Below are 13,880 nucleotides of genomic sequence, written 5' to 3'. Positions count from 1 at the left end.
CAGGAATTCAGAAAGCCCTTGTCCATCATGCAGTGTCCCTGACCTGAGTCCACACTGTGCGTGGTTCTCACAGGCCAGGCTTTGATTCTTGCTAGATGCGTAGCTCTGTGACTTTCCAGCCAGACACCTGGCTGGAAAGTATCCTCAGTGCAAGTTAACTCTGGCATCTCTCTAATTCTGTTGCTGGGTTCGACACAAAAACATCCTAGTGACAGCTGGTCCCATTTAAGGTCAGCCACCTGTGCTTCCGGAGATGGAAGTAGACTCAGACCAGATGAGTTTTTTGGTGTCTGTATTGGATTAATGTGTACTTCTTTCTAATAGGAATTCCAATGACAGTTGTCTTGTTGGATTTTTTTCTACCTACATGATCATTTTCCTTTTTAGAGCCACCATAGTTTTATCCTATTTAAAATACTTTGTACTTTGAACCATGGACACCCACCTCCCAAAAATTAAACCATTTATAACATGACCCTTGAGCCTGAAGATTGCATTTCAAAATATAGACAATAAATAGAGTGATTTTTAAAGCACCTGTCTAATCAGCATTAAGCAGTCACCAGCACCTCCCCATAATTGAAATTCCAAAGAGTGACTCTAAAGCGTGGACGTGTTCAGAATCAAAGATGGAACGGTTTTTAGGGTAAATGTTACATACTGAAATCAAGCAACATGTAAAGTTTTTAATACATAGATGATCGTTATACAGACTAATAATCATACCAATTGTCCTCAGGCCCTGCTGGACAGCCGCGCATCTGTCTTGTAACGAGCTAACCATGTAATAAAGCACGGTGAGCAGGCACTTCCTAGGGCAGTGCCAGGAGCCTTTCTGAATACTGCAAAGGACTATGTCCAATGCCTGATCTAGCGTCTTTAGAGATGGCCCACCTACAGCCAAGGTCTCCCAACAATGTAGCTTTAGAGCTAAGCCTAGGCGGGCTTCCCCCCAGTATGTTCCACATTGCCATGTAGTTAAACATGCACCCTTTTTTTTAAGTTTGCCCCTTGCCCTTAATGATAACCTACATTCTTCCTAAAAGTTACCTTCTCTGGAACATTTCATTAAGGAAAGGAAGCAGTCATTTTTGCTGCTTTATACTGTTTGAATTGTTCAGGCTGCTGGCAGTGGAGGTGGACAGGGATTCCCACTCTTTGGTGCTGGGGGAACCTTTTCTCATAGTAATGCCCTGAAACCCTGCGCCATGGCACAGCGCAATGCTTAGAACAAAGGAGTGAGGAAACTCAAGGTGGGCCCGCTGGCATTCTTCAAAGAAGCCCTGAGAAACTCTGAAATTCCCCAGTCTTGAAAGAAATGAGAGAGAGAGAAAGGAAGTGTTATGCTTTAGAAGACAAAAAGCAATTTCTAGACTGTCTTTACATAGGAAACTAATTCATTACTTATTGCCACTAAACATGAGCTTGTCAGTGGAGGCCTATTCCAAGCACAGTGAATACATTATTTTCTTTAAACTCCCTATTCTACAAAGTAGGAATCATTCCCATCTTACAGATGGACACTGAGGCTTTGAGAGGCTGCTCATCTGAACTGAGATTCAACCCCAGAACCATCTATTTCCTAAGCCCAAGCCCTCAAACGTGCCATGACACTGCTTTTGTCTGTGGTTCTGAATCGCCTATGACTCCTGTGGAGATGGCAGCAGAATGTCTGGGATTTCTACACCAGGCTGAAGCCTCCCCCCCGCCACACCCCCTATTCCCTGGCTCACTTTCAGGAAGTGGTGCCTGGGCTGTGCCCCTCAGATGTGGTCGCTTCTGTATATGTGATGAATTTTGAGACTCTCAGTGGCCCAGGACCATCACTACGTATTAAATCCATAAGATGTGAGAAGGGTAATTAACACTTCCTGTTGTTATTTCCCCTTCTTTGCATCCAGGGAAAGGGGTACAATAGGGAAGAGCAGGAGGAGGGGGAGGGAAGATCCACACGCCAGAAACTGAAGTGGTCTGGAATGGGAAGAGTGCTGGGCACACAGGAGCTTTCTGGAGCTGTGTCTAGAGGGAAAATGAAGGTTCCCTCCTGTTTAAACCAGACTCCCAGTCTGTGGCTTTCACACTACATGCAGAGTGTGGAACACGTCATCTACTGATGAGCCCTATTCACCCAACACACTCAGAACTTGGGGGTTTAGCCTTTCCTAACTAAAAAAAAAAAAAAATCTCTGTGAAGTTTTGACATCTGGATCAACAATTAGCCAAATATCTGTGGGTGGAATGCTACCTGGAGAGAAATATTTCAGAACCCCCAAATGAGAGCATCCTTCCCACACAGACCCAGACCTGGCCCAGACCCAGAAGAACAGGTTGAGATGAAGTTTTGTCCTGAAATCACAGTGTCCTGGAAGCAGTAGTTCTGAGGAAGGGGCAGATTGCCGTCCCAGCCTCTTCACTGAAGGATTTGAAGGCTGATTCCAGTTGTATGAAAACAGCATCTCACTGCAAAGAAGGTGCTGTTAGACCAATGTGAACATGAGCTCAAGCATTCTCACCTAGAAAAGCACCTCTGGTTGTGCCCTTTTGAAAAATGTTATAAATTTCTTATGCCAAATTTAGAAGGAATTAGGTTCCAGATTATTTTCTCTCGGGTTTAGAATTGTGTTTACGACACTGAAGTTGAGTTTTATATGCCTTTGGTCAGACTCGTGACAATTAGCCACTCCTGGGGAGAAGGGGCACCCTCGTGCCCAGGTGCCAGCAGCCCTCGCCCGCAGTGCCTGGCCGGCTTCCATTTCTCCTTGAGGTGGCTGAGCTGGCCGGAGCGTTCGCGGGCTGAGAGGACCAGCAGTGCCATCTTGTGGAAATGTTGTCAGTGCTGAAGCCAGGCTGAAGGAGGGAGACAGCCTCGACTGTCACACTCTGAAGAATGATGTTATCCAGAAATGTCTGGGTGCAATCGAGTGAGACGTTTCCCTCTGCTCACCAGCCATGCTAATTATTATTTTGCTGTCCAGAAAATTAATAGCCCAAATAAATTAAGACCAAGCCAAGAAGGTATTTCAAGAACTAAAAATGGCAGGAACGGATTTGTTTTCCATCGACTTACTGGGAAATGTTTAAAAAGTCACCCCAGCTGGGAATATATTTTCTGTAAACTCTGGAAGCACAAAGCTATGGATTCTGAGCAGAGTCAAAACAAGAGTTTTGGAATTTGCTTCTAGGCTGCCCTGCAGGCTCTGTGCTTTCCTGAGGAGACTGCTTTTCCCGGTCAATGAGCGCATGTGCTGGGCCACAACCTATGTCACCCCCTTCATCAGTGCATGAGAAGAGCCCCCAGCCCCATTCACTTTGTATGGGCAGAAGCTGATCGAGGGTACCCTGTCCTCCCACTGCAGTGCTCTAGTGTCGTGTCCTCTCTGTTACACAAGTGCTAAGCACACACTGTGACTACCTTTCATCAGCACACAGTGGGTGAGGCCCAAGGGCCTCTTCTTCTGCACTGACAGAGGGTTTGATTTGAGGTGCGGCCCAGTTCTCAAGGTCATTACCCTGGAAAAGCAGTCTCTTTGCCCACCCTCCTCAGGAAAGCACAGAGCCCGCCAGGCAGCCTAGAAGCAAATTTGGAAACTGTGTTTCGACCCTGTTTAGAATCTGTTGCTTTCTGCTGTGTGTATGTGCGTGTGTGTGTGTGTGTGTGTGTATGCACATATATAGAGTCACCTAAGAAGGTAGGGTCTGTTGCTGTCCAGTTTTATAGACAAGGAAACTAAGCCTCAGAAAAGTCAACCACCAGCTCACCAGCTTGTCCCTGGCAGAGTCAGGATTTGAACCCGGATCATCCAACACTCTAGCCCACACTCATGGTGTCCATTTGCCACGGTCCCTCCTTTGCGTGGTTCTGAATCGTCTCTGGCCCTGTCGGCTGCCTCGAATCTGTTAAATGGTTTGAAGCCTCCCCTGCATTTTGTTCCCGAGACTGAGGAACAGAGTCGTCTGAGATGGTGGAGATCTCAGACGACCCGACTGAAGAGCACAGCCCTTGCGCTTCCTCCCGGGCTCCACCCCCAGGACCCCAAGCAAGGTTCCAGCCTCTCTGAGGCACCATTTCTTCCTCCGTAAAATAGAACATCACCTGCCGAAGGAACTCAGATGAGCTAATGATTTATGTGGAAGTGCTTTGTATGCTAGTTAAATGCTAGAGACATAAGTGATCATTTTTCAGGAAAAAAAATCCACTATCAAGTCAGAAAGTAAATCTTTAGGTAGATTTGAATATATTGTACTGTCTGGTTGAATAAAGGACCCTCAGGTTACATTTAGATTGCTTACCTTAAAACTCTGCATCTCTAAATCATATACAGAAGACAAGCTAAAACTCTGCTTTAAAATGAGGGGACTGGGCTTGGAGCCAAGATTACATGCACTATACAGCCCTCGTTCCAAGTCTGGTTCCCAGCACTTATTACTGTGCAACCCTTGGGCAAATGACTGGTCCTTTCTGATTTACCATTCCAATCTGTGAAATGGACAGTTCCTGCCTCACAGGACCAAGAGAGTTAGATACAGCACTTCTAAGGGGAGCGCCTAACTCAGCACCTGGTCCATAGTACATAGTGGTGATTGATAAACAGTAGCTTTTATCAACCTGAGATCATTTCTATCCTTTAGGGAAAATAGAGCACCAGTGGCTTATTAAAGGCCATGTGTCCCTGCCTTCTGTGTACATGCTTCCTGCTGATAGAGTACATTTACATGAAAAGGAGACAGCATTTGCAGAGGATAACTTGAGTAGACTTCCATGAACCCAGGTCAAAACTAACATGAAAATGATTCTGTTACGTACAACTCTCCAGTAATGCCTTTGCTGCCATTTTGATTACTTTCAGTGGGATCAGAGATTTGACCAGATTCCCAGTTTCACTACTACTACGCACGTGTGTGTGTGTGTGTGTGTGTGTGTGTGCGTGTGCATGTTTCTCCCCATCCCAGAATTCACCTTCGTGGTAACTAAGCTGACCCTAATCCCTACCAGGATGCTTGGGAAGGAAGAGGCTGACCAGTCAGATGCACATCGGACCCTCCCTGTTGCACAGAATCCTATTTTGGGGTGAAGAAGGGCACTGCATTTTTCTAAGAGTGCAGAAGCTCTCCAGGGTTAAGGGAAGAAGGGTAAGGACCCCACAAAACTAGCTGTGGTGAGCCAGGCTGGAGCAGGGCAGCAGATACAAATTACTTTGTTCACAAGTTGCCTGTCAGTAGCAGTCCTATTTGAAGATTACTAGCAATCGGTCCTTTTGGGGAGCCCGGATTCATTTCCTGGCTGACCTGCTCTCTGTAGCCCAGGGGAAAGTATTATTGCAATATCGGTGTCCTGTGGGGACTGAGTAGGTACATGTGGGGTGTCGCGTACAGTTCTAGGCAAAACTCTAGAAACCGCACTGGAATGCAGTTGGGAGAATAGCTGAGAGAGTGAAGGAATTTGAAATCATGCCTTTGAGTCTGGGAAAGGGATGTTCTGGGGGCTTGTGGTAGCCTTCTTCAAATACCAAAGGACTGTCCTGTGGAAGAGCGTTAGACTTGGGATGGGCGCTGGACTAAGTGCAGGGAGACAGAATCCGGCCCACCTGGGAGACATCCAGGCGGCCCCCACTGAAGGCCCTTAAGCTCTCAACTGCGAAAGGATGAAGGTATAGATTGCAGCAGCCGTCTGCCTGGTAGGGAACCTCCTGTCCAGCTCTAACTCACAAGAGTGCATCGCTTTACACCTCTCAGAACTGGGGCAGAAACCAGGCTGTCAGAGCACCACGATGATGAGGGAGGGTGTAAAGCCTTAGAACACAAAAGAATGTTAAAAGTCTTCTCAATTTTTATATGAGTTACATGTTGGGGTAGCAGTAACTTGAATATATTGAGTTAAATAGTTGCTGTTTGGGAGTTTAGGGAAGTTTTAAAACTATGAATTTGGGTTTCTCAGCCCTTTCCACATTCCTTTAAAGATGAGACCATCAAACTCAGTCTTGATGATATCTGCATTCCACAGGGTTACTCAGTCACTGAGCGTTTCTGGCATTTTATCCTGTCTGTCTGCAGTTTCCACAGAATGCCAATAAGGTATAAATCTTCATTAAGAAAATTTAGAAAATAAGTAATAGCAAACTTTTGTTAAGGACAAAGGGTCCTTTTAAGAGTTTGATGTGGTCCTTGCCAGATGGACAATAGAGACCCACGTGCACGGACATCAGGTGGCTGCTTAGTCTGGGTGTGAAAAAGCTGCAGTTTCTGCTAGTGTATAGGAAGTGTTATCTGGATTCTAATCCTGGCTAATTCTGCCTGGCTTGCAGTTCTTTTCAATTTAAATAAGTGTAGTTTTTAAAGTCTGGAAAGGCCTGAGGATATGGGGCGGGCAGGGTTGATAGTTTTCACTCTCTGTTTCCTGAGAGAAAATAATGTTGCATCTTCAAAACAGCATCTGTCAGAATGATTTTCATCAGATTAAATAAATCCTCAAAGCAGCTATCATACTTCTTAGACTTGAGAAATGTAGGTTATACTTTGCATGGAAGCCTAATGGCATTTAAAATAGGTGTGTTTTGCATGTACAGCCTTACACCCAGACCTTTGACTGGGGTTTCTCGCTTGTGAGATTTTGTTCAAGCTACCACATCTCAAAGAGTTTAGTAACTGTTTTTACTTTATAAACGTCATAAATAATTATTTGCCAATTTAAGTTGCTGTTAATTATAGTTGGAAAAAAGGATTGGGCTCTGAAGCCTTTGGGCCAAACTTGATGAAAACCTTCAACACAACATACGCTCTGTCACGGGACAAGTTACATGAAAATACATATCGCTGTTAGACATTTTGGAAGAGGCCTGCCTTTTGCCATCTTTTCATGGGCAGCTGCCATATGTCCTTACAGCCAATTATGGCCTTTTCAGTTTTAGAGAAGAATTTTGGGGGCGACTTTTGGTTCATAAAGACCTTTAATGAATGATCAATACAGATTGATATTTATTATTCTGTGGCAGGGAAGCTTATTCTTAAAATTAGTTGCTAAATCTAAACCACAGTACGATACTTCCTCACACCCATTAGAATAGAGCCTTTATCCAAAAAAACAGAATAAAACAAAACAGAAAACAACGAGCGTTGGCAGGGATATGGGGAAATAGGAACCCATGTGCGTTGCTGGTGGGAATCTAAAATGGAACAGCCGCTGTGGAAAACAGGTTGGTGATTCCTCAGAAAGTTAAACACAGAATTACCATATAACCCAGCAATTCCACTTCTGAGTTACACACAAAATAATTGAAAGTAGAAACTCGAGCACATATTTATACACCCACGTCCATAGCTGCACCATTCGCAGCAGTCCAGGTGTCCATCAGCAGATGAATGGATAAGCAGAATGTGGTCTGTCTGTACAGTGGAATGTTATTCAGCCTCAAAAAAGAATTCCCACACATTCTGCAACATAAATGAACCTTGACAATATTATGCTAGATGGAATAAGCCAGACACAAAAAGACAAGTACTGTATGATTCCACTTACATGAGATCCCTAGGGCAGTTAAACTCACGGTGATGGCCAGGGGCTGGGAGGAGGAGAGAATGGGGAGCTAGTGTTTAATGGGGACAGACTTTCTGTTGGGAATGATGAAAAAGTTCTGGAAATAGATAAAGGTGATGATAGCATAATAATATGAATATACTTAATGCCACTGAACTGTATACTTAAAAATGGCTAAAATGGTACATAATTTTTTTGTAATTAGTTGCTGAGCTGGCTGGGGTTTCAAAGCGAAGTTAGAAGGGAGGGAGAGCTTGGACTGTCTTTAGGAAGAACGTTTGCCTTGAGCAGACCAGAGCTAAAGGAGACCCTCAGTCTGGTGTCCTGTCACTTCCCGCCGAGTCGCCTCTTGCGGCTCGATAAGACTTTCTCATGCAACACAATTCTTGAATATTGTGTAAAAAGTGCAGTCTTAAAGCAAGGACCTCGCCTGCGGAAGTGCTGGACACATGGGGTTCTTTTCTTTCAGTGCCTTATTTCTTACCAGTGCCAAACAGATGGGGGCGCTGGAGCACAGCAGTGCAGGATGAAGTCTCAGGCCTTCATGTTGTTCTTCCCCAGGTTAATTAGGTGGAATGCACACTGTTTTGGTTGTGCCCCAAGAGACTGCTCTGACCTAAGCTTGCCACTGAGTGACATTCCCTGTCCCTGCTCCTCAGCTCGGAGTCAGCCCTCAGGGTGTGCACAAGGGCAAGTTCACGGCCTTTCCATCCTGAGTGAGTCCCTTTGACTGCGGCATCAGACCCTCAGTCTTGCCATCACTCAGCCAAGTCGCCAGCACCACATCCAGCAGAATGACTAGCCACTTTGTATAGGATGCAGCACAAAGGACACCAGTCCCTGGCTCATCGCCACACCCGGTGGGCCTCACCTCACCCCTCGCCACCCAGTGGTTGGCAGAGGCACATTTCTTATGCTGAGCCTAGCATGATTTTCATTGACATCCTCTGTCTTTATGAGCAGAATCCACCAAGCCACTAAAGCTCAGCAGATTCAGTCATGACTCAGCACAAAGGAGCTATCTCCGTGAATTTGGGGTTTCACAAGGACAGCGCCATCTGTGAATGACTCCTGTGGACTCTTAGACGCTGCAACCTGCAACCATGGCCCTGGACACTCCTGGAATGAGCTGGGCCTGTGGGGGGAGGGTCATTCTTACTGCTGGGGGTCTCCTTTAGCCCCCAGGGTCTCCATGGCCATTCAGCAGTTGCGATGGGACAGTGTCTTGAGCAGCTCACATGGGAGTGAGGTGCTAAATGTGGGTTTAGGAAAGGAAAGAGCGTGCCCTGGGAGTCAGAGGCTGGTTTCTAGGCCTCAGCTTCCGTGTGTGTTTTCCAGCACTCAGGCTAGAGCAGAGCTGTCATGATCTCATATCATCACTGTTCACACACATTTCTCCGGGTACATACTCGAGGCATAGAACCCCACCCTTGTCGTGATCAATGCAGGAGACGCCCAGAGGACAGCACCTCTGAGGAGCACCGAGGGCAGGGAGGAAGGGCGGGACTGTGGCAGGCCCCTGGGCTCCAGACTCCCGTCCTCAGTGCACACAGGGGACCAGTGCTGGAGACAGATTCCTGATAGCCAGGTCCCCCGAGAGCCTCACGTGGCAGCTACTACACAGTGGGGCTGGGCTCAACCAAGGAGCCTGTCAGGAACACCCAACATGGAGGCCTCTCCAGGCTGGCGCCCTACTGCTGGATGGCGCCTCTGCGTCCTGGAGTTCCACTCCACCTCTGCAAAGGGTGGCGTACTCACAGGGTAGACCACCCTCATTGCTGGGGATCTCCTTTAGCCTCCAGAGTCTCCATGGCCATTCAGCAGTTGTGATGGGACAGTAGTTGTGTGTGTGTGTCAATCTTTATAAATACACACGTACAGTAATACAGAAGTACAAGTGATTTTAACTTGTTTTGCTTGTCTGCGTTTCAATAATGAATATGTACAGGCAGACCTCAGAGATATTGCAGGGTCTGCTCCAGGCCACCATAATAAAGCAAATATTGTGATAAAGTGAGTCCCACAACTTTTTGGTTTCACAGTGCATATAAAAGTTATGTTTACCCTCCACTGTAGCCTATTAAGTGTACAGTAGCATTACGTCTAAAAAACAATGCATAACTTAATTTAAAATTTTAAAAATTTAAAAATTCTGTATGCTAATGATCATCTGAGCCTTCAGTGAGGCTCAGTCTTTTTGTTGGTAGAGGGTCTTGCCTCAGTGTTGATGGCTGCTGACTGATTGGGGTGGTGGTTGCTGAAGGTTGGAGTGGCTGTGGCAGTTTCTTAAAATAAGACAACAGGCCAGGTGTGATGGCTCATGCCTGCAATCCTAGCACTTTCGGAGGTCAAGGTGGGTAGATCACTTGAGGCCAGGAGTTCGAGACCAGCCTGGCAAACGTGACAAAACCCTGTCTCTACTAAAAATACAAAAATTAGCCAGGCATGGTGGTGTGTGCCTGTAATCCCAGCTACTCTGGAGGCTGAGGCATGAGAATCACTTGAACCTGGGAGGTAGAGGTTGCAGTGAGCAGAGATCACACCACTGTACTCCAGCCTGGGCAACAGAGTGAGACCCTCTCCCTCTGTAAAAAAAAAAAAAAAAAAAAAAAGACAACAATGAAGTTTGTGACATAGAACATAGATCAACTCTTCCTTTCAGGAAAGAAAGATTTCTCTGCAGCATACAATGTTGTTTGATAGCATTTTACCCATGGTAGAACTTCTTTCAAAAATGGAGTCAGTCATCTCAAACCCTGCCACTGCTTTATCAATTAAGTTTATATAATATTCTATATCCTTTGTTGTTATTTTCAGTGTTTACAGCATCTTCACCAGGTGTAGATTCCAGCTCAAGAAATCACTTTCTTTGCTCATCCATGAGAAGCAACTCCTCATCCCTGAGGATTTTAATCACAAGATTGCAGCCATTCAGTTCCATCTTCAGGCTCCACTTCTAATCCTAGTTCTCTTGCTGTTTTCACCACATCTGCAGTTAGTTCCTCCAGTGAAGTCTTGAACCCCCTCAAAGTTACCCATGAGGGTTGGAATCAGCTTCTTCCAAACTCCTGTTAATATTGATATTTTGACCTCCTCCCATGAATCATGAGTATTCTTAGTGGCATCTATAGTAGTAAATTCTTTCCAGAAGGTTTTCAATTTACTTTGCCCAAATCTACCAGTGGAATTACTTATTTCTTAAATAATAAGACTTGAAAGTCAAAATTACTTCTTGATCCATGGGTTGCAGAATGAATGTTGTTTTAGCAGACATGAAAACAACATTAATCTCCTTGTATACTTGGTCTTGGGTGGCCAGGAGCATTATAAATCAGCAGTAATACTTTGAAAGGAATCTTTTTTTCTGAGCAGTAGGTCTCAACAGTGGGCTTAAAATAAGCAGTAAACCTTGATGTAAACCAATGTGCCGTCATCCAGGCTCTGTCATCCCATGTATAGAGCACAGACAGAGTAGATTTTATGTAATTCGTAAGGGCCCTAGGATGTTTGGAATGGTAAATGAGCATTGGCTTCAAATTAAAGTCATCAGCTGCATTAGTCCCTACTAAGAGTCAGCCTGCCCTTGGAAGCTTTGAAACCAGTCATTGACTTCCCTCTCTAGCTGTGTAAGTCCTAGATGACATCTTTTTCCAATAAAAGGCTGTTTTGTCAACATTGAAAATCTGTTGTTTAGTGTGGCCACTTTCATCAATGATCTTAGCTAGATCTTCTGGAGAACTTGCTGCAGCTTCTTCCTCAGCAGTTGCTGCTTCACCTTGCACTTTTATCTTCTGGAGATGGCTTCTTTCCTTAAACCTCATGAACCAACCTCTGCTAGTTTCCATCTTTTCTTCTGCAGCTTCCTCACCTCTCTTAGCCTTCATAGAACTGAAGGGAGTTAGGGCCTTTCTCTAGATTAGACTTTGGCTTAAGGGAATGTTGTGGCTTGTCTTTTATCCAGACCACTCGAACTTTCTCCATATCAACAATAATGCTCTTTTACTTCCTTGTCACTCACTCCAGTGCTCACTGGAGTAGCATTTTTAATTTTCTCCCATAACTCTTCCTTTGCATTCACAACTTGGCTATTTGGTGCAAGAGACCAGCCTGTCTGAGCTTCCGACATGTCTTCCTCGCTAAGCTGGGTCATTTCTAGCTTTTGATTGAAAGTGAGAGACATGCAACTCTTCCTTTCACTTGAATACTTCCAGGCCATTATAGACCATTGTAGAGTTGTTAATTGCCCTAATTTCAATATTGCTATGTCTCAGGGAATAGGGAGGCCTGAAGAGAAGGAGAGAGACAGGGAATGGCTGGTCAGTAGAACTGTCAGAACACATATGACAAGTATTGATTAAGTTTACCATCTTATATGGGCACGGTTCGTGGTGCCCCAAAACAATTACAGTAGTAACATCAAAGATCAATGACCACAGATCACTGTAACAGACATAATAATAATGAAGATGGACACCCATAGACTTGCTTATGCAGAGTTGCCACAAACCTTCAATTCCTAAAGAAACACATTACCTGTGAAGTGCGATAAGCAGATGCCATAAAACAAGGTGTTTGTTTGTGTGTGTGTGTGTCTGTAGAGGGGAGGGTGTTTATATATGTATATAATTACTCAAGCTTCCTCAGCCACCTTTTAGGGCTCAGTTTGGTGAGGAAGCTAATTCCCTTTATTATGCATGTATTCTTACTAGATTGACTCTCTATGGATGACATTTTATATCAAGTTTCTGGAGTGGGGTGATGTCCTGCATTTCCGCCTTTCAGAGCCTCAGCAGGTTAAAAAACAAATAGGACATGGAGACAGTGGAAGCCACTGTGCACTCCTGCTACGGAAAGACGGCTGTGCCTTGTTGAAGATGATACTATATGATTCGCTACCAGAGTGGGGCCATCCCTGCTTCAGGCTGTTCCTAGATGTTTAAAAGAACATTCCAAACGACGTTAAGAAACTTTGTGCTGCCATTTGTGTATTCCTTTCCAAATCTTTTCTAAAATGTTAGAATTCAGACCACAGTTCCTGAGCTTTGGATGCAAACTCCTTGGCCCTGAATCCCTGGAAGCCCTCCCCTGTGGATGGTATCAGCCATCACAGCAGGATGTGCTTTAAGAATCCAAATGAATTCAGTTATACCACGTGGCGGGACTTTTAAACTTGAGCTGAGCTTACTCATTTCTGGCCGACTATTAATCCTATAGCTAAATCATGTACGTAAAGGAAGGGGAAAAAAATCCAACCTGGGTAACCACACAACAAACACTAAATAAAACCAAGGTAATGTATGGGGCATCTCTGTGCTGCTTAGTAAAACTTGAAGTTTCTTAATGTCGCGAAGTAACAGAAATTACTTGGGGGAATTTCAGGTGTTTTTGGTAAACTCTTTGGGGAAGTAAACAGTCAGTGAACTTTCGGAATGCTGGGACTTTTGACTGCAGCAAAACAAAGCTAAGACAAGTGGATTCCTTAAAAAAGACCACTGGCAGCAGAGGAGAAGCAGAGCTGGGAAGAGACAGGCTGGTGAGCTCAGGGGATAAATTCTACCCCCTCTACCCAGCAGGACTGGCCTTAAGCAAAACTGAACTAAGAGGGAGATGCTTCCCCTCCACCCACCTCCGTGAGTGTCCCCGATCGATCGCGCTGTCCCAGCTGGGCTGACCTTGTATTCACCTCCAGGTCTTGGGTGTCTGTACCTCTTGGTGGAGGCATTTGGAAGTGCACACACCTTGTCCACTACCTCAAACTGTGTCCTGATGTTTTTAAATTATGGCACACGTAGCCATAAAAAATAAGTGTACAGAAGAGTATATAATTACATGGAGAGATGCTTGCCATAGCCTTAGTTCAGAAGGCAGATTACAAAACAGTATAACTATTTTTGTAAGAAAAAAGTTAATAAGAAGACAAGCACGTACATCTGTCCATAGAAGGAAAGCCTGGGAGGATAGCCCCACGTTAACAGTGTGTGTTTCCAGGTGGTAGACCTGCTGGCGATTTGAGCCTGTTTGGGCTTGTCTGTTTTTTCACACTGAGCTGTACTGCTTTGGTACTGCATCCATTCCCTCAATACTCGGCAGTTTAGGTGAGCTCAGTGTGAGTTAACATGTCAAGAGGTGACATGTTTCCCAAGGACCTTATATTTGTAATGCTCAGGGATTGATGGGGACGGGAGGTTTGTGTTGGCTCTAGAATCTCCCCTGTGAGGACGCTGGAAGGGGAAGCCTAGGGTTGAGGAGGCAGTGAGAAAGTCTCCAAGTCCACACCATGTAAAGCTACTTCTCCCCTGCTTTAGGGAAGCGCCTGTTTCACGATCTCATTAAATCCAAATAAATGGGC

The 13,880-nt window shown here is 45.1% G+C and overlaps 1 protein-coding gene across 2 annotated transcripts in view, besides 3 other annotated features; it reads left to right on the top strand.

Annotated features, from left to right (window-relative positions):
* The window catches only part of DAP (death associated protein), an 82,005-nt gene that overhangs the window by 63,186 nt on the left and 4,939 nt on the right, over positions 1 to 13,880 (top strand). The window lies entirely within an intron of this gene.
* Positions 2,702 to 2,761: a silencer, noted in NCBI's record as "silent region_15928". NCBI's record gives its function as "represses an Ori minimal core promoter by ATAC-STARR-seq in GM12878 lymphoblastoid cells {active_cell/tissue: GM12878}" and the evidence as "EXISTENCE:reporter gene assay evidence [ECO:0000049][PMID:35858748]".
* Positions 12,815 to 13,124: an enhancer, noted in NCBI's record as "active region_22379". NCBI's record gives its function as "activates an Ori minimal core promoter by ATAC-STARR-seq in GM12878 lymphoblastoid cells {active_cell/tissue: GM12878}" and the evidence as "EXISTENCE:reporter gene assay evidence [ECO:0000049][PMID:35858748]".
* Positions 13,225 to 13,304: an enhancer, noted in NCBI's record as "active region_22378". NCBI's record gives its function as "activates an Ori minimal core promoter by ATAC-STARR-seq in GM12878 lymphoblastoid cells {active_cell/tissue: GM12878}" and the evidence as "EXISTENCE:reporter gene assay evidence [ECO:0000049][PMID:35858748]".

Source organism: Homo sapiens, chromosome 5, assembly GCF_000001405.40.
Source record: "Homo sapiens chromosome 5, GRCh38.p14 Primary Assembly".
Classification (NCBI taxonomy): domain Eukaryota; kingdom Metazoa; phylum Chordata; class Mammalia; order Primates; family Hominidae; genus Homo; species Homo sapiens.
Note: the sequence above shows the minus strand (reverse complement) of the source record. Positions and strands in the feature narration are given on the sequence as shown.